General features: G+C 36.8%; 1 protein-coding gene across 3 annotated transcripts in view; it reads left to right on the forward strand.

Annotated features, from left to right (window-relative positions):
• The window catches only part of MACROD2 (mono-ADP ribosylhydrolase 2), a 2,057,682-nt gene that overhangs the window by 678,005 nt on the left and 1,359,378 nt on the right, over positions 1 to 20,299 (forward strand). For all 3 annotated transcript variants that reach the window (NM_001351661.2, NM_001351663.2, NM_080676.6), the window contains exon 5: positions 11,323 to 11,439. In NM_001351661.2, the coding sequence (NP_001338590.1) occupies positions 11,323 to 11,439 (117 nt within the window). The remainder of the gene's footprint in view (positions 1 to 11,322; positions 11,440 to 20,299) is intronic.

Raw genomic sequence — 20,299 nt, forward strand, 5'->3', positions numbered from 1 at the left:
CCACAATTATAGGGCCATAAAATCTGAATTCATATCTGCCACTTAGGTGGATGACCTTAGATAAGTAATCTATTCTTGAACTTGTTGAATTTCTTCAACTATAAAATGGAAAAGGTGGCTGGGCACAGTGGCTCACACCTGTAATCCCAGCACTTTGGGAGGCTGAAGCAGGTGGATCACTTGAGGTGAGGAGTTCGACACTAGCCTGACCAACATGGTAAAACCCCATCTTTACTAAAAAAACAAAAAATTAGCTGGGTGTGGTGGTGGGCGCCTGTAATCTCAGCTACTCGGGAGGCTGAGGCAGGAGAATTGCTTGAACCTGGGAGGTGGAGGTTGCAGTGAGCCAAGATCGTGCCACTGCACTCCAGCCTGGGCAACAAGAGTGAAACTCCATCTCAAAAAAAAAAAAAAAAAAAGGAAAAGGTAATAAAGCTCAAGACCACCTTGCAAAATATTTTGCAAATTAAATTTGTGATAATTTTGTCAAAGTGCTTTATAAAATGTAATACATTAATATGTGACCCATTCCCTAAAATGTTGTCAATCTATTAAAAGATGTATTCTCCATACTAAGGTATTCGGTATATTGTAAATTACTTTTAATTTCAATGAAAACGTGATTCTGAGCTTCTCTGCCCTATTCATTTGGGTCCCAAGGAAAGAGACTATGGTTTATATTTCCTTTCTTCTCTGCATGAATGGAGGTAGAAGACAGTAGGGATTTATAACAGACTTTAAGTTCAGGCAAACATGGGCTCTGACCCCAGCTTCTACATTATCTTGCAGTGATTACTTAACTTCCACCTGTTTATTTATTAAGTAGTGATCCTAATGAATTCTTCCTTTCAAAATTTTTATCATGATTTTATCATGATTAAATGAGATATAGCCAAAATTTATTGCATACTTGCTGCGTGCCAGACATTATTCAAAGTGCTTGTCAGTTTACTCACGAAAATCCTATAATTTTGAGTGGAGGTCCTATGAGGGATCCCATTTTAAAGATGAGAAAATCAAGAAAAAGAGATTTAAATGGTGGCACTAGGATTCAAATCTCTGCTGTCTGACACCTTAACCATCCTCTTTCTACTTCGTAACACTACCTCTAAAAAGTGAAAGCTTTCAAGTCACTTAGCACACCAGTGGGCACACAGCACATCTTCAAAATATGTGACATTATTATTGTTGTTGTTAATATTATTATTTGATTTCCCCACAGCTTCATGCAGAATGCTTTGTGCAAGGTAGTTGTTTAACAAATTTATGGTAATTCGATTTTTAAAGAACCCTGTTGTATCCTCTTGGGCTTCTGAGAGATACATATTCAATGAGCGAAGCCTCTTACTTTTTAGGCTAATATGATTTATGCAGCTGCTTTTAGATTAAGTTACCATCTTTTATTTACAAAAAAAGATTAAATAAATATGTGAAAATCCAAGAACTCCAAAATCTCCCTGTGAAAATCCAAGAATTCCAAAATTTCCCTTGCTAAAAACTGTTTAGAAAATCATCTTTGTAAGACAAGAAGGAGACAAAGACCAAACCTACTTTTGATTGGTGTACCTGAAAGTGATGGGGAGAATAGAACCAAGTTGGAAAGCACTCTTCAGGATATTATCCAGGAGAACTTCCCCAAACTAGAAAGACAGGCCAACATTCAAATTCAGGAAATACAGGGAACACCACAAAGATACTCCTTGAGAAGAGCAACCACAAGACACATAATCGTCAGATTCGCCAAGGTTGAAATGAAGGAAAAAATATTAAATGCAGCCAGAGAGAAAGGTCAGGTTACCCACAAAGGGAAGCCCATCAGACTAACAGCAGATCTCTCTGAAGAAACCCTACAAGCCAGAAGAGAGTGGGGGCCGATATTCAACATTCTTATAGAAAAGAATTTTCAACCCAGAGTTTCATATCCAGCCAAACTAAGCTTCATAAGTGAAGGAGAAATAAAATCCTTTACAGACAAGCGGAGGCTGAGAGATTTTGTCACCACCAGGCCTGCGTTACAAGAGCTCCTGAAGGAAGCACTAAATATGGAAAGGAAAAATCGGTACCAGCCACTGCAAAAACATACCAAATTGTAAAGACCATCAACACTATGAAGAAACTGCATCAACAAATGGGCAAAATAACCAGCTAGCATCATAATGACAGGATCAAATTCACACATAACAATATTAACCTTAAATATAAACAGGCTAAATGCCCCAATTAAAAGACACAGGCAAATTGGATAGAGTCAAGACCCTTTGGTGTGCTGTGTTCAGGAGACCCATCTCATGTGCAAAGACACACATAGGCTCAAAATAAAGGGATGGAGGAAGATTTACCAAACAAATGGAAAGCCAAAAAAAAGCAAGGGTTGCAATCCTAGTCTCTGATAAAGCAGACTTTAAACCAACAAAGATTAAAAAAAAGACAAAGGCATTACATAATGGTAAAGGGATCAATGCAACAAGAAGAGCTAACTATCCTAAATATATATGCACCCAATACAGGTGTGCCAAGGTTCATAAAGCAAGTTCTTAGAGACCTACAAAGAGACTTAGACTCCCACACAACAATAGTGGGAGACTTTAACACCCCACTGTCAATATTAGACAGATCAATGAGACAGAAAATTAACAAGGATATTCAGGACTTGAACTCAGCTGTGGACCAAACGGACCTAATAGACATCTACAGAACTCTCCACTCCAAATCAACAGAATATACATTCTTTTCAGCACCACATCATGCTTATTCTAACATACATCCACAACACACTTATTCCACATAATTTAGAAGTAAAATACTCCTCAGCAAATGCAAAAGAACGGAAATCATAACAAACTGTCTCTCAGACCACAGTGCAATCAAATTAGAACTCAGGATTAAGAAACTCACTCAAAACCGCACAACTACATGGAAACTGAACAAGCTGTTCCTGAATGACTACTGGGTAAATAACGAAATTAAGGCAGAAATAAATAAATTCTTTGAAACCAATGAGAACAAAGACACAACATACCAGAATCTCTGAGACACAGCTAAAGCAGTGTTTAGAGGGAAATTTATAGCACTAAATGCCCACAGGAGAAAGTGTGAAAGATCTAAAATCGACACCCTAACATCACAAATAAAAGTACTAGAGAAGTAAGAGCAAACAAATTCAAAAGCTAGCAGAAGACAAGAATTAACTAACATCAGAGCAGAACTGAAGGAGATAGAGTCATGAAAAACTCTTCAAAAAATCAATGAATTCAGGAGCTGGATTTTTGAAGAGATTAACAAAATAGATAGACCACTAGCCAGACTAATAAAGAAGAAAAGAGAGAAGAATCAAATAGATACAATAAAAAACGATAAAGGGGATATCACCACTGATCCCATAGAAATAAAAACTACCACAGGGCCAATTTCTAAAATAACTGGATTTCACTAAATGGTGCATTTAGTGTTTTTCAAAATCTGTATTTAGAACTTTGTCTTGGTTCTCTTTTATTTTTATTTTCTGATAGCTCTACATTCATTACTGTACAGTACCTGATACGTTTCTGCTCAATGCTTTGCAGCTTGTTTTTTCTCTTTTCAGGATCAACTTGTTCATTTGCTTATAAAATGATGAGCTTTACCTGAGGAATGCCAGAGAGGCAGATTGGACTCTCTGGGGCAAAATAATCTTAAGTTAAAAAAAAATTGAGGTGTTTTCATGTCCTATTTCTTTTGCCTTTATTTAAGCTATCTAAACAGTGGAATAAGACTATTCTATAATAACATCTTCAAACTCTAAGCTCCAAGGTAATATGAACAAAAGTGACAACAATTCCCCTCAAGCATAACTGAAACTTATCTTTCTATCCCGCTCTCAGACAGTGGAATTCTTTAGGCTATAGTCTAAGGAAAGCTAACCAAGATAGCCTAATTAATAGGCTGAAGTCCTCTGAATTTAGCCTTTGCTAGATAATTGGAGAAAATATGTCAGGGAGTCAAAATCCTTGCCTTAGTTAACCATCTGCCTGCAAGCATTTTGGCCTTCTTATCAGGGTGGTAAATGACAGGTATGTCAGTACAGCAGAAAGCCTAGCCTTTAGAAGGAGCTGCAGCTAGACTCCCCTCAGTCCTGACGAAGAGCAGCCCTGTGAGTGACCTCAGTGTTCACCCCAATACTAGCTGACCTTACCACAGGCAGTCTTTAATAAGTCTCTGTTTTAATCTTCTGTTAGTCTGGTTTCAGTCACTAAGTAGGAGGAACAGCTATTTCAATGAGTAGGAGAGCTTGGCTTTGGGTACTCACCGAGTCTTCAGACTCCAGCATGATTAAGGACTCTGAGACATACCTAGGGCAATGAGCTTGGCCAATACATTCATTCTAGTAATAAAAGCTGATTTTTTTGCACAAGTTTAAAAAAAACAGTGATCCAGTGGAACAAAAATTGCCATCATGATATTTACAACAGAAATGAATGTATTTGTTAAGGCAAACTGGTGTTGCAAACATCCCCAAATTGTAGTGGTTCTACATAATAAAGGTTTATCACCTGATTCACAGTCTAGTATGGGAAGTGGGAGTGGAGCTGTGTTCCACACAGTCATTTAGGGACTCAGACACTTTTTGTCTGGTTGCTGCACCATCTCCTGGGTCATTGGTGTCCTGCCTGAGCCCCTGCATTCAGCCTGCAGACAATGGAAGGTCATATGGAGGACCTTGTGCAGGATTTTTATGGACTGGATGTAGAAATAGTTATATCACTTTTACTCATACTCTTTAAACAGGACTCAGTCTCACAACCCCCTAAAATTACAAGAGTGTTTGGGAAGTACTGTCTTGCTCATGTAGCCCAGGAATAAAACCAAATGGGCTTTGGTGAACAAACAGCAGACTAGCCACAGTGGTCTTGAAAAATTCTATATATTGTGGTTCTATTTACTGATGGAGCTTAGTTGTCTTTTTTCCTATAATATATATATTTTTGGTATGATAAGAAGCATAGACAGTCCTATTGCTCTCTAGAAGATTGTATTCCACTTTTTTCCCTCTTTTAGATTTCTGATCTTGGGTTCTATTCTTTTCTTCTTTAGTGGTGATTAGGTTTAGATGATCTCTGTCAGCCCGAGTACAAACTATGGGTCTCCTCCCCATCTGCCTCCCCAGGGTAGATGTGAGAAGTGCTACTGTGTTGTATTCCACATCTTGCCACTATTCAGCCTGCTGTCTTTTTATTCTGACCCTTTGTGAAGTCAAAAGGCAAGGTTTTCTGCAGATTGAACTAGACCTGAGTGGAGAAGGGGGTGAACTTTCAGATTCAATGAATTATAACACTTCTAATATAGAACCTCATCACCAGATTTGTGATGACAACACTAGCTGTGTATTTGACTTTACTTTTTACTTTCTAATTCCTTGGATTTGAGTAACCTAACCATTTCCTCAGTATTATCAGAAAAAAAAAAACAACACATTACTTTTCCTCCCACATTTAATTGAATCAAAATCAACTGTATTAAGCAGTTACAGAGTCATTTATTAAGATAGGTGGGGATATACAAAAGAATAAGCCACCTCCTGCTTCTTCAAGAAACTGAGAGTAAGGTGGGAAACAGACTTTTAGCATATAAGCATTCTGCTGTGTTTATGTAATAGCTATAAAACAGTTTATAAATATGACAATAAGGGTGCAAACCAGAATATGATGGGAACATAAAGAGACATTTATTTTGTCCAGTTGTAAATGGTTTCTTAAAAGAGAAAACATTTGAAATAGAAATTGAAAAATGGGAAAGACCTCGCTAGGCAGAAAAGGAGAGGGAATAGAAAGCCTGGGTAGAGGGTACCGTGCAAAGGACGTCATGGTGCCTTTAGAGAACAGCAAGGTCATGGGTGTGGCCAAATCAGAGGATGTGAAGGGAGAAAGTGTAGGAGGATATGAGAGTTGGGAGGATAAGTTGGAACAACATTTATGAAGGGTCTAAACACCTTAATTTGGAATTAGTGTTTTACAATGTAAGATATGAAGAACAACAAACATGACTTTAATAGAGAAGCAGTAAGATCAGACTCACATTTTATAAAAATAAGTCTAGCAACAGAATTGACAATAGATTAGAGAATTTTAAACTCTTATATTGAGTTTGTACATATAGGGGTATTACCTTTTTGTCTTTCAAAGACTTGCTTTTGAGCATAGAATTGATACAATTGATATTACCATTGCCCTTTTCTCCCACACGCTTTTTTTCAAGTGCCACAAATATAGCTCTGAAATAATAGGAGATCATATTTTAATTGAAAGTGTGGTATGTAGTTCCATTGTTCTATAATGAAAGACTAACATGTATCAGATGACCTTCATACCAATAGTAACTAGGAATTCTTGACAAAATATAAGCAACAACAGAAATTGTTTATTGGCACTAGCAAGTAACTTAAAATAGGCTGAAATAAGAGAGATTCTATTTGTGACATAAGGAACCACACTGAGTGAGAGCCACATTTAAGAGATCATGTGACTTGGACCCTGAGGGTCCTACTTAACTCATATGGTAAGTGGCTGAGAGGGCTGAAATAGAAAGCAATAGTTATTCACATGGGAAACCACAGGACTGAATTCAGGATTGTCAGAATAGGAATTAAGGAGGAGATGCCAGAAAGGAGAGAGTCACAGATGAAGGAGCCCAAAATCTACAAATAAATCCCTCTTGAATCCTTGGTTGAGTCTATGCATATGCAGAGAAAGACTCTAAGAAGCCTAGGAAGAAAATGAAAGCTAGAAGGTGTAAATAACTGAGAAAATAATTCAGCAGCTTCTTAACTGTATGTCTATAGAATTTGGAATTTTAGTTCTCCCCAAGTTAGAGGGGGCTTGGCTAACATCTTGGGTTTTCCGCTGAAACTCCAGAAGGGCTATGCGGTAGGAGTAAAGACTACATCCTGGCATTAAGGGATTTATCATAGAACTTAAGAAAAAATTGAAATAGACCCACCTTAACGAAACGTCCATATTACTTGGCAGTATTTTACCTGCCTGCTAGAACAAACTTCTAAGATAATAGAATCTTCTAAGATAATAGAAGATAATAGAATCTAAAGCCTCTACCATATATTATACACAAGTTTCAATATGCCATCAGTAATTTACTAGACATGCAAAGAAATAAGAAAATGTATTCCAGAGTCAAATGAAAAATGAGTCAATACAGACAGACCCATAGCTGACCTAGATAATGGAATTGGCACATAGGGACATTAAAATAACTATGTCACATCTGTTAAGGAATTTACATGACTAGATAAAATAGAATGGATGAGGAGATGGGAAATTTCAGGAGTCATAGGAAAACAGTAAGAAGAAGAACCAAATGGAAATTTCAAGAATGAAAAAAATGAAATATTTGAAACTTTAAAAAGTGAAATGGAATTAATAACAGATTTATCACAACTCAGTAATAAAAAGACAACAAAAATTAGCAAAAGACATGAGCAGATACTTCCAAAAATAAGATATATGAATGGCCAGTATACATTTGGCAAGACATCTAGCATTATTAATTATCAGGGAAATGTGCATTGAATACTCCTTTATAGTCATTAGAATTACCAACATTAAAAAGGCTGACGACAACAAGGGACTGCCAAAATTTGAACTCTCTTACATTGCTGGGGTTATGTGTAACATGGTAATCACTGGGGAAAACTGTTATGTTAGTTCTTTATAAAATAAATATGTACTTACCTAGTAATTTCACTCAATGATATTTGTCCAATGGAAATGAAAACGTATAGCTACAAGATGGTTTATACAAGTATGCAGATTGATTCATAATAGCTAAAAACTAGAAACAGTCTAATGTCTATTCACAGATGAATGGATAAAGAAATTACAGCATATTCAACAATGGAGTATTACAAATAAAAAGGAAGAAGTCTAAATATATACAACACAGGTGAATCTCAGAAATATTTAATATGTGGAGTAAAAGAAGGCAGTCTCTCTATCTTTATATAAAGTTTGAAGTTATATAGCAGGTAAAACAGTTCTGGTGATCAAAGTCAGAACAGGAACTCCCTCTGGGTGAGGGGAGGGGAAATTGAATGGAAAGGGCACAAGGTAGCTTTTTGGGTTCAGGGAAAGGTTTTGTATCTTTATTAGCATCATGGTTACATAAATGCACACAGTTGTTAAAAGTTGTCAAAACTGCACACTTAAAATCTGTACATTTGATTGTGTGTACATTATAAGTCATAAATAGAATGGATGGGAATTTAAAAGTAATGTAATAGAGTGCTTCGATATGCCACATGCAGGAATTGAGAAGACAGTGATTAATAATGGTTAAGAGCATGGTTGCAATATCAGATAAATCTGGGGTTTTGAATCACGTCGTGAGTACTTTGTGAATGTAAGCAAGTTACTAACCTAAGATCCTAGGAAATGGAGATGATAAAATTAATATTTACCTTATAAGGTTGTCCTTAGTGCAGTGCCCAGCACATTGATGCATTTGGTACATTTAAGCTGTAGTTATTATTATTAAATAGCTCTTCAGCTAGACTTTCACTGCCCGAGTGCAGTCAGGAATACTGGGATAACCATGAAAATTTTGAGAATTAGATATCTGCAAACTGCATTAAGGAGCAATCTAAATAATGCAGGTAATATTTGACAGCATATGATTAAGTATACTAGGAAATCCTATTTTCATTATCTATTTGAAAGCAACTAATTACCTCTTTGCCAAGAAAACGTTTACTTTAAAATACTTTTCTTAAAGCTCTTGTAAAAAATTTTCATATATAGAGAAATTAGGACTTAATTTTTCCCTTATACAGTAATCTCACCCTCTGTTTCCCATCTCATAATAATATCACCAACTGCTGCATATATTTTCAGTACATATATATATGTGTGTGTGCTGAATATATATATACACATTACATATATATATTACATTACATATATATATCCATATATATGTATATTCAGTACATATATATATGTACGTGTGTGTATATAATGTTGTAAACAAAATGGTAACCATACTATATGTACTTTTCTAAACCTGGCATTTTCACTGAGAAATCTTTTCATTTGAAGGACTCTGTTTACCTATAGCTGGTCTATTCATTTTAAGTGGTGTATTACAGTCTATGGCATTGATGGGCTTTTATTTATTTAACCAGCTCCTGTTGATGGACATCTGAGTAGATCCAAGTTTTCACTATTGTAAACAACTGTGACATCCTTGTATACGTATTTTTTGCACTTGTGTTAATAATTTCATGTAATAAATTTAAAAAGTAAAAATGCTAATTGAAAGAATTTTAACAAAATATATTAATGTTTCTTTGTAAGAGAAAAAACTTTATTTTTATTTATTTATTTTTTTTGAGACGGAGTTTCACTCTTGTTGCCCAGGCTGGAGTGCAATGGCACGATCTTGGCTCACTGCAACCTCCGCCTCCTAGGTTCAAGCAATTCTCCTGCCTCAGCCTCCTGAGTAGCCAGGATTACAGGCATGCACCACCACACCCGGCTAATTTTGTATTTTTAGTAGAGACGGGGTTTCTCCATGTTGGTCAGGCTGGTCTCGAACATCTGACCTCAGGTGATCCGCCCGCCTCAGCCTCCTAAAGTGCTGGGATTACAGGCATGAGCCACTGTGCCCGGCCTTTATTTCTTCTTTTTAAATAAAGAAGAATTATTTCAAAATTTACACAAAATTTGATTTAGAGTACTTAAGATAACTACCACCAAAGGGACACATAACACTGTACTAGACACTATGCTGAATGCCTTCCATGCACAAAATTATTCAAATTTTATGCACAACTTTGTAACTGTGTGAGATACTACCATTATTGACAAGGACTTGTAAGAAAACCAGTGCTTGGAGCATGCCATATCTGGTAAATGTTTAAGTCTGGATTTCAACCTAGATTTTGCAAAACATGCAGTGTAGCGTAGTCTGGAGTGAATTTATTTTTTTGTGAGTGTCTTTGAGGTTGAGGATCATTGTCAAACTTTGGTGATATGCAAGTGGTGAAGTAATAAAGCCCAGATAATGTTGTTTCCCTGGAACACTTGTGAGGCCAAAAGTGATGCCTCCCTGCCATGCAGTGGCAGCAGAAGTCAACCTGGACATTAGACAAGTTATACTTCCCTTAGTGCCAATAGCCTGTCCCATATCCAGCTTCGTCTTAAATAATAATAATGATAATGATAATAAAGATCAAGGATCAATTACATGGTGTTATGGACTGTGGAGAGGAGAAGTCTTCAGACCTCTAATATTCTATCTATTTTCACATTCCAGTTACTACTACTCTCTCTTTTCCTTTATTTTATAATCTTGCTTTTTTTTTCTATCCAAGGGGCCCATTCAATAATAACTAAAGCCCCAAATCCTCAATTTCCTAATTTATGTGTCTGTGATCTTTTAGTCTTCTACCCTTCTACCTGTGCACTCACACACAGAGAACTTTAATTTCCAGCGACATCAAATTTGTGCTCTCAAAAGGTAATTTGTGATGCCTGGATGTCAAAGGCGCCCAGATGTAAAGCTAGAGAGCTGATGAGACCTGAGGCTGGTCACGGGCACAAAGCCTGCCCTTCTGGCAGAGTCGGAGCAGCACTGAAGTTCTGCTTCAGGCCGTGCCAAGTGAGAGTAAGGGGTGGTCTTATGGGTGTTAAGCAAGACCTAATCTACCCTTGCGCAGCACCCAGTCAGACACCCTGCAGAAACACAATCATGTGTGTGTCATTCTGTTGTGGGGAGAAGTTGCTCAAAGGTTTGGTTTTGATTTTGGTAGCTTTAATTCTACTCCTTCAGTTTTGAGGTGAGCACAAATGTTTCAGAGTACCTTTCTAGGTTTCTTACTGACTTTTTTCTTCTCTAACCTGTGGTGTGTTAGAGGCAACATGTACCAGCTCGGGAAAGAGAGACAATTGTGAGCATTTCTTCTCAACCCTGTGTTCAGTGACATCAAGTTAATAGCTTAAAATTGGATATGGGGAAAGGAATTATACCACTGAAATGGAAAAATGCTACATATCAAGGATTCTCCCACCCCAGAGAACCTGTTGTTTAACTAGCACACAACTTCTATAACCCTTCTACTTCTGTTCACCACATAACCTCACCCCCCCCCCCCGGCCCCCGCCAACACACACACAAACAAGCTAGTGTTTGAAACATTGGACACCCTGGGTTTTCTTCCACGGGCTATGGTTATTTACAGGAAGAACAAATTGAGTTCTCTTCCTCTTCCCATCTTGAGCTTTATATTTATTTCCAAATGCCAAATATAAGCTAACTTTCTTCTTTCTCCCTTAGTGGATGGCTGTATTCATAGAGCAGCCGGCCCCTGTTTGCTAGCTGAATGTCGTAACCTGAATGGCTGTGATACTGGACATGCAAAAATCACATGTGGCTATGACCTTCCTGCAAAATGTGAGTACAACTGAATACTGTTTCAAAACCAGATGAGACATCTTAACTTGTTTTACTCCAGTGTATAACTGGAAAAGGAAATGGCAGTGGTGGTATTTAATTAAATGTGCTTGAGTTCAGATTTTGTACATGGTAATAAAAACGTGCTTTCCAAGTATGTCTCCAAATATATACATATATATAAAATATACATATACTGTGTATATTATATATATATATGTATATACACACATATGATGTTTAACTATTCAGGTCTTTGACAGAGTGTCTCTGAAAGGGAAATAAAAACATGAGCAAAATATACATTATAGCATTTAAGTGCCACAGAGTGACAGCTCCTGGAAATGATGCCAATTTCTTATTCCTTGTTCAGGTTTCTTGATTGTGGATGTGTTTAGAGCAAAGGAGATCAAAGTGATGTATTGTTTTTCCAGCTGCCATGTAAAGGCTGATTGGCAATTACAGCCAAGGCATCTGTCACACTTTGCTTTCAGGAAAAGCCAACGAAATCTGGTTGTCAGTGTGAGAATGTGTTTGCTCTTTGAATGCGGAATGGTCAAAATTTCCGTTATATTTTAATAGAGAGAAGTATTGCATTTGATTGACCTTATTGCTTAGTGATTCAACCAACTGGGTGGCATGGTATGGGATAAAATACTTAGAGAGAAGCTGGTCAGTGTCATAGCTTTTTTATCCTGTAATCTTCAGGGCCTGAGGTTGGAGGTAGAGGGTTTCATTGCATCATTAAGGTGTGTATTGACCTGGAAATTGAGACACCAATTTGTTGATTATCACATTCGTCCACTTCTTATGATACTGCTGAGATCTGTGGAATACATTTTATGTAAAAGTGAAGCTGGTTTTGATTTTTGTTTTAGCAGTGGAGAAAATATGAATGAAAATTTATAATACAACCTATAGGATACTATGGGTTATATATAGACAGGTTGTCATAACAGTGAATTTCTTGTGGATGTGTGTGAATGGAGAATAGCGTGTTATATTTTAAAGATTACTGTAAAGGTATGTTTAAATTTGAGGACTTGTAGCAAATAGTAATATATTAAAACAGTATTTTTCTTTATCAATATAATATTGCATCCTATATTGTTCATAATGGTTTCAGTGAAAGTACTTTCATGTACTGCATAGCGATGCTTTGGTCAATGATGGAACACATATATGGCGGTGGTCCTATAAGATTATAATACAGATTGAGTATTCCTTACCCAAAATGCTTGAGACCAGACATGATTTGGATTTCAGATCTTTTTTTCAGATTTTGAAATATTTGCATATACAAAATGAAGTAATTTGGAGATGGGGCCCAAGTCTAAGCACAAAATTCATTTATGTTTTATATGCACCTTATACACATAACATGAGTGTGATATTATACAATATTTTAAATAATTTTGTGCATGAAACAAAGTTTTGATTGTGTTTTGACTGGCCTGTCACATGAGATAAAGTGTGGAATTTTCCACTTGTGGCATCATGTTGGCACACAAAGTTTTAGATTTTGGAGCATTTTGAATTTCAAAACTTGGATTAGGGATTCAACCTGTACTATATTTTTACTGTACGTTTTCTATGTTTAGCTATGTTTACATACTTACCATTGTGTTACAATTATTTGCAGTATTCAGTACAGTAACATGCTGTACAGGTTTGTAGCCTGGGAGCAATAGGCTATAGCCTATAGTCTAGGTGTGTAGTAGGCTATACCATCTCGGTTTGTGTAAGTATACCCTATGATTACATAACGATGAAATCACCTAAGGAGTCACTTCTCAGACCATATTCCTGATGGTAAGTGAAGCATGATTGTATATCAACTATATATGCTGTTTAATTTTTCCTTTAATGATTTTTCATTTATTTTTCTTTGTTAGTATCTTTACCTAGTGTGAAATAGTCAAATCATGTGCCAAATGGCTCTTCACTACTACTTGGAATATGTACTTGTGTCAAACAAACCCTTTGTGTAGAATGGTGTTTAGAGCAGTTCTCTTTGTAACTCAGAGGTCATGATCTGGGTATTAACGGTGATTTCTCTCTCCAGAATCATATAGTGCTATTTTTACAAATATTGGTTCTTTTGCTTTCTAATACCATTCTACCTTCATAATTTACCTAACTTACACTGCCCTGAGAACAAGCAAGGTTGTTGACTGCTACAATAATAGCAAGATTATTGACTGTTTTCAGACTTGTATCTGTCCTTAAACCAAGTAATATTCCCAGTCCCCTATTGATTCACTGTTTTCTTTTTTATGTATTAAAATACAAATCAAATTTCTCCAAATCTGAACTTTCTAAAGAACAGTATACTCAGAATCATTAAATACGCCCAAATAAAATGGTGGCTGTAGTGTATGGGTTCACACTGTGATAATTTTTTAAATGTGCTTGTATCTGTTTGACATCCCTTTGAATAAGTTATTCAGTTTCCTTTGAATACAATTCATCTTATTTTAGGGTTATTGAAGACTTGCACAATACCAGGCACTGAGGAACAAAGATCAGTGAGTCAATACCAGTGCTTGAAGAATTCCAATGCTTGAGTCATAACTTCGAACTGAAGTGTGGCTTTCATGGGCATCCTGGGGCAAATGGATCTTTTGGGACAATGAAGCTAGAAATGACCAGTCAATCAATGGGACTAGCTACAGAATCCATGAGAGCTGAGATCCTGAGAGCCGACAGATACTCAAGTCACTGCATGCAGCCCACAGGGCATGTTTAGTAAAAACTCATCCAATAGAATAGAAATTACCAGACAGGCATTGCAGTGCCACCTCATAAAAGTCATAAACATGGAATATTTGTGACTAGGTCTTGCTTCTTCCTATATATTTAAAAGGTTAATGATTTATATTAAAAGCATAAAGGAAAGCAAGGAAAGCAATATGAAAATGGTAATAATAGCTTACATTTTTATGCCACTTTATAATATTTCACAGTACTTTCACAAGCCCTTATATTTAAAATTATGTTTGATAAACATTGTGTGTGTTCATTTTCCCTTTCCCTATCCCTGAGAGATGTTTTTCTTTCTCATCAATTTGGTTCATCCATTTCAGAGTCATTAACAATCCACAGATGTGCTTTTGTAGTGAGAATGAAAAGGGAGCTCGTTACATACTGTTTGGGTCATTTTTCCTCTCCATATTTAATAATTCCATGACAGTTTGACAGCAGAGACTAGTTGCTATCTGTCCTCTGAGACAGCGGGTTTATCATTATAGGGGTACTAAAGCCAGTCATCCAGCCACAAGTGATAATATCTTCATGCATCAGCAATTTGTTTGGAAAATGCTATTGTCTGGGTTACAGACAAACTTCATAGTTTTGAACTGGTTTTTGCCTCTTTTATGCTTGCTAAATTAATCTATTCATAAATGGTTGTATTTGAATTAATTATACTTGTATTCTGTGTTCTGTGACTCATCATAATTAGTAGAATGATAAGCCCCAGATATTTAGTTTACTTTTCACTGCTTGGATGTTTTGAATGATTTCTTTTTGACATTAAGAATATCCAATCATTCTTTTCAAAAGAAATCTTAAGGGTAGAAAGAATATTGGTCAATATTTCATTGAAGGCTATTGCTAAGGAAATGACTTAGAAAGTAGATGGAGGATTGTTTATGTAATTGGATCTTTTGGGAATCTTCTCTACAATATTAGATATTTTTGAATTCATAATGCAATTTAAATTTTTATAGATTTTTAGAAGCTTGTTGACATATGGGACATTTCTATTCATGCTATCATCATTCCGCCAAGTAGTCAGCTTCACATAGGCAAGATTTGTCTATCTCAGTCAGTTCCAATGTCAGTATCAATCATAGTGTCTCCTAAATATGTGCTGAATTAATGTGAATAAATGAAGGATCAGACGAGTGAATTATTTCAAGACTTCTTCACCTGAAAAATAGTTTTTAAAAACACTTTTGCCTCTACTTCTAATACTTTTCCTTCCGCAATTATTCTGCACATTTCTAGTAAATTAACATTCTTAAATCCAGAGTCCTTAAAATTGTCTACAATGCTCTACATGATGTGACCTTTACTTCTCTACATCATCTCCTTCTGTGCTTCCCCCACTCACACAGGCTGCTTTGTGTGAACCTGGTCCTCAAAGCCTTTGCACTGGCATTCCTTCTGCTGGATTTCTATTCTTCTAGATACCTACATGGCTTGTTCCTTACCTACCTCAAACTCTTGTTCAAATGTAACATCAGGTGTCACCCTAACCAACCTATTTATAATTGCTTCAGTTTTTAAATTTGTAATTGCTTACTTGTAAAGTTAATCTTCAAATAGCATTATATCATTTACTTATTTCTTTTGTTTCTTATCTGTTTCTATCTACCAGAATATGGGCACAGATTCTTCTTTCTTCATTTTTCTAATGTATTGCTATATTCATATAGCTTAAAAAATGTGTGATATATAATAGGGGTTCAAAAGATATTTGATGAATGAATGAATAAAACGTAACTCTAATCCTCTCAAAATCCGATAGTGGATTTTTCCTTAAACACAGACTCATTAGCCTGATTACCTTTGGCCTTCCACTGAACTACTTACAACCTTTTGTATGATATGAATTGCTCACAATGGTGTGTCTATGCATGGGGTCTGTATCTGAGCTATCTAGAAAGCTCTTTCTTTGCTCCTTTCACTTGTCTTCCAGACTCAGTTCAAATATCACTTCTGCCATGAAACAAGTCTTCTCGCCTCACCTCAGCTAAAAATGCCTTCTTTTTTCTTCACACTCCAGAATACTTCATGTTAACATACTGAGGGCACTTGTCACGTGCTACCTTTTATTGTTGGATATGCAAACTTCCCACTTTTATAACAGAGTACCTTGTATATCACAGGTACTAGAGAAATATCTAACAAATGAATTAGTTATTGAAAGTGTCAAACCTGGTTGATAATTGGTAGTAGGTGGAATATAAAGGAAAAATTATGCTAATATTCATAAGAAATTATGAAATCAGTGTCAATTATCCATTGTGTTTTTAAAAAACATATTTTAACATATATATACTACAAAGTCTCCTGTCTCCAAAATTTACTCTTAATGGAGTTTCTCCTAAGGAGAAAAAAAAATAAAAATAAAGAAACCATATCACCCTTATTTGATGGTTTTCAGCATAGCTCACATGTCTATTTTATTTCTTTAGAATGCTTCTCTCTTAGGCTTCAGGGCTGAATAGTCATCAAGGATAAATGGAAAAATATTAAACTTGTGTAAATGAAATGGTGGAATCTGTTTCTTTTATTTCTTCTATTTAATCTTTGGAAGGCATCAAGGGGTAATATTGACTAACTCAAGGTTTTCATTAATCATTTGAAGGGAAACTCTAAGGTGAGAGACCATAGCATAATATGTTTGAATGAGTGGTATGAATCAGAATACACATTCTATTCCCAGGTGCAATAATAATCAGATGATAGTAGCTTAAAATGTACTGTTGATAATAATTAGTACTTCTTTTCTGCCCTTTATCAAGAAATCATAGTACTTTGAAACAGTAGCTCATCAGTCCTTTTGAAATTCCTATGAGGAGGTGACGTGACAAGTAAAGTTTTCTTACAACACAAAGAGAAATACAGGTACAGGGAAAATAAATCTGTTGCTCCCATTAACAAACTAAATCCATATTAGAGGCATCGTGGTGGCCAAGGATCCCTGAGCTGGGAAAGGAGTCTCTGTTAGGTGTTAGCCAGGCCTGCTGCCTGTTTTTATAGATAAAGCTTTATTAGAACACAGTTGTGGCCATTTGTTTACATATTGTCTATGGCTGCTTTCATGTGGCAGAGTTGAGTTGTAGCTACAGGGATTTTACGGCCACAGAACCTGAAGTGTTCACTATCCAGCCTCTGTGGAAAAAGTTTGCCAGCCCCTGGTCTGTGGCAATCTGCACTTTTATTTTTATTTTTTTCTCCCTGAGTCAGACGGATTCCAGCTCTGTCGCCCAGGCTGGAGTGCAATGGCGCGATCTTGGCTCACTGCAACCTCCGCCTCCTGGGCTCAAGCGATTCTCCTGCCTCATCCTCCCGAGTAGCTGGGATTACAGGCATGCGCCACAACACCCAGCTAATTTTTGTATGTTTACTAGAGCTGGGGTTTCGCCATGTTGGCCAGGCTGGTCTCAAACTCCTGACCTCAGGTGATCCACTGGCCTCAGCCTCCCAAAGTGTGGGATTACAGGTGTGAACCACAGCACCTGGCCAATCTTCCCTTTTTATAAAGTAAGAAAGGTGAGATTCAGAGAGACTAAATATTGAATTTTATTAAATGAATTACTACTTATTCAGATCAAAGTTGATAAAGTTGAGACTAAAATACCTACCCTCTATTCCTTGGGACATCCTTGCTTCTGTTGCCTCAAGAGAACATTACCTTGGGAAGATGATCTGAAACCTTTCAAATCTTTCAAATAATAAGGCCACCTTGAAAAGAATGCCTAGAAAAATATGGTGATTTTTCCCAATAGGGCCAGATCTGGGAAGTGAGTAAGTCGAGTCTCTCAAGGGAGAGTCAGTTTAAACCACCAGAGTATTAGGAAGCAAATCTTTGTTCCTTGTTTCCTCCAGTGGTGTTAGCTGCAAAGGAGCCTGCAGTCCACAGGAAATGCAGTTTCTAGAGCAGGTAATTCATAAGATGGTTCTGAGTTAGTCCTTTGCAAAGGGTGACCTGATTTCAGCCATCGTGGACTCTCCCAGCAGGTGTCTGATTGTGAAAGCAGTGGAGTGGACATGCTGCTAGGAGTATGACTCTGCCAGCCTTTGATGAAGACCTGAGGGCCCTCATGAGCCCCTTCCATAATCAAATGACTTATATTACACAAAGAGAAAAGCCGCTTTTGAAGATCATAAAATCATCTTCCTTTCTGAAGAGGAAGATGGGATTGTTCCTCCTAAAATCAACTCGGATTGGCTCATTTTCTTTAAGTGCTTAAGGAATTCAGGTTTTATTTGAATCTATTTCTCCATAATTGTCACCCTTTTCATTTACATTAAGCAGTTTCATACATTTAATCTCCTTAGTGATCCTCATGATGAATGTGGAAATAAGAAGGGCAGAAATATTCTAAAAACCAGAGCAGTGGTTCTCAAAACGTGGTTCCTGGAGCAGCAGCATCACCTGGGAATTTGTTTGATACAAATTCTCAGGCCCCACCCCACACCTACTGATTCAGAAACCCTGTGGTTTAACAAGTTCTCCAAGTAACTCTATTGCGTGCTCAAGTGTGAGGGCCATTGCCCTAGAGAGTGGTGGAATCCAGTAGCACCCTTGCCTTGAGATTTCTTTTGGCTTTACAACACAGGTATCCATTTGGGTCACAGATTAGGGCTTTTTTTGAAGAGAACTCTGACACGTTCTTCTTTTCCTTTATAGCATTTTCCACTAGTGATGACATCTGTGTTTGTTTATTTGTTTATTACCTGTCTTTTTAGACAAAATAACATTTTAAGAAGGGAAGGTGTCCTATGGGTCTCATTTACCCCTGATATCCTTAGCATCTGACATAGTACCCAGAACAGAGTTGGCTCTTGATACATATTTACTGGAGGACTTAATGAAAGCATTGTTTTTATCTCCTCTTGTCTTTGTCATAATCATAGCTGCCCTGCAGGAAACCGAGCAAGAAGACACTCAAGAGAGAACAACATGATTCCAGGAATCTGCAGAGCTAGTACTCCTGCTGCTTTTAGCATCTCTGTTATCCCATCACCAAACATACTGCCTGCTCAAAGGCTAGCAGTATAAGAAAGCACAGGGGCCAAACTTTGCTTAATGTATCCACATGCCACATGTCTGTTCTATGCTTAGCTTCTTTCATTTTCTCTTATTTTGACCCATTGTGATAACATAGAGTCCACCCCCAAATGGCTTTGTGATGAAATAACTTAATGATTCTAATACTAAATGTTGTCTTTTAAAAAATATCTACCTTTTGGAAGCAACTGGTGTTTACACTGTTGTATTACTGGCTGAGTGTAGAATTAAACAGCTGTGTTTTGCATTATTTGCCATCATAGCAAGCCTTTAGAGGACGCTGTCTATACCTCCTATTTCCTATGTGATCAATAGGAAATAACAGTGTAAATCAATTCTAGGTAATAATGTAAATGGGCTCTTGAAGGCAATTCCTGCTGTGAAATAAGTAGTTAGCAGTGACACTGGCATTAACCACAGTGGGGGTAATCAGCCTTTGGATGTGTTTAATCAGAGTTATCAGCTAAGATTAAAAAGAGAGCCACTGTTGTACAGGGATAATCATTTTCAGGATTTAAAAGATGAATATTTGGAGGTGTTCTCATAAATTAAAGCCATCAGAATGGCTTTGAGTAATTTAGGATGCCCTGAGGTCAGGCACAAGCAAACAGGAAAGGTTAATCTCAGAGCTACGGTAGCTGATGTGCAGAGATGGCAGAATACATTTATTGAAATAAGTAGCAAATGCTGAGTAAAAGTGTAGATTTTTTTTCTCCCTGTGTTAAGATGTTCCTTGAGCTATTACTTACATATATGATTTGATTAAAAAGTAGTCCACAGTGAACACTTCGTGAATGTATTAACTCTCCCTGTAATTAATCACTAATCCCAAAGATTAAATATTAGGCCATGTTATGACTTGATTAGAGGTGTTTCTACTTGAAAATATTGATGTAACCAAGCTCTGTATTATAGAATGTAAGATTGATTCTGTGTCAAGAACACTAAATGTCATGGTAGAAGATCTGAGATGCATAAATGCAGAGTGTTGTAATTGGTAAAGTCCTTAACTTCTGAGCCTGAGGTTCCTTATACGTGATTGTCTAGGAGTGT

The sequence above is a fragment of the Homo sapiens genome, chromosome 20 (genome assembly GCF_000001405.40).
Source record: "Homo sapiens chromosome 20, GRCh38.p14 Primary Assembly".
Lineage (NCBI taxonomy): Eukaryota > Metazoa > Chordata > Mammalia > Primates > Hominidae > Homo > Homo sapiens.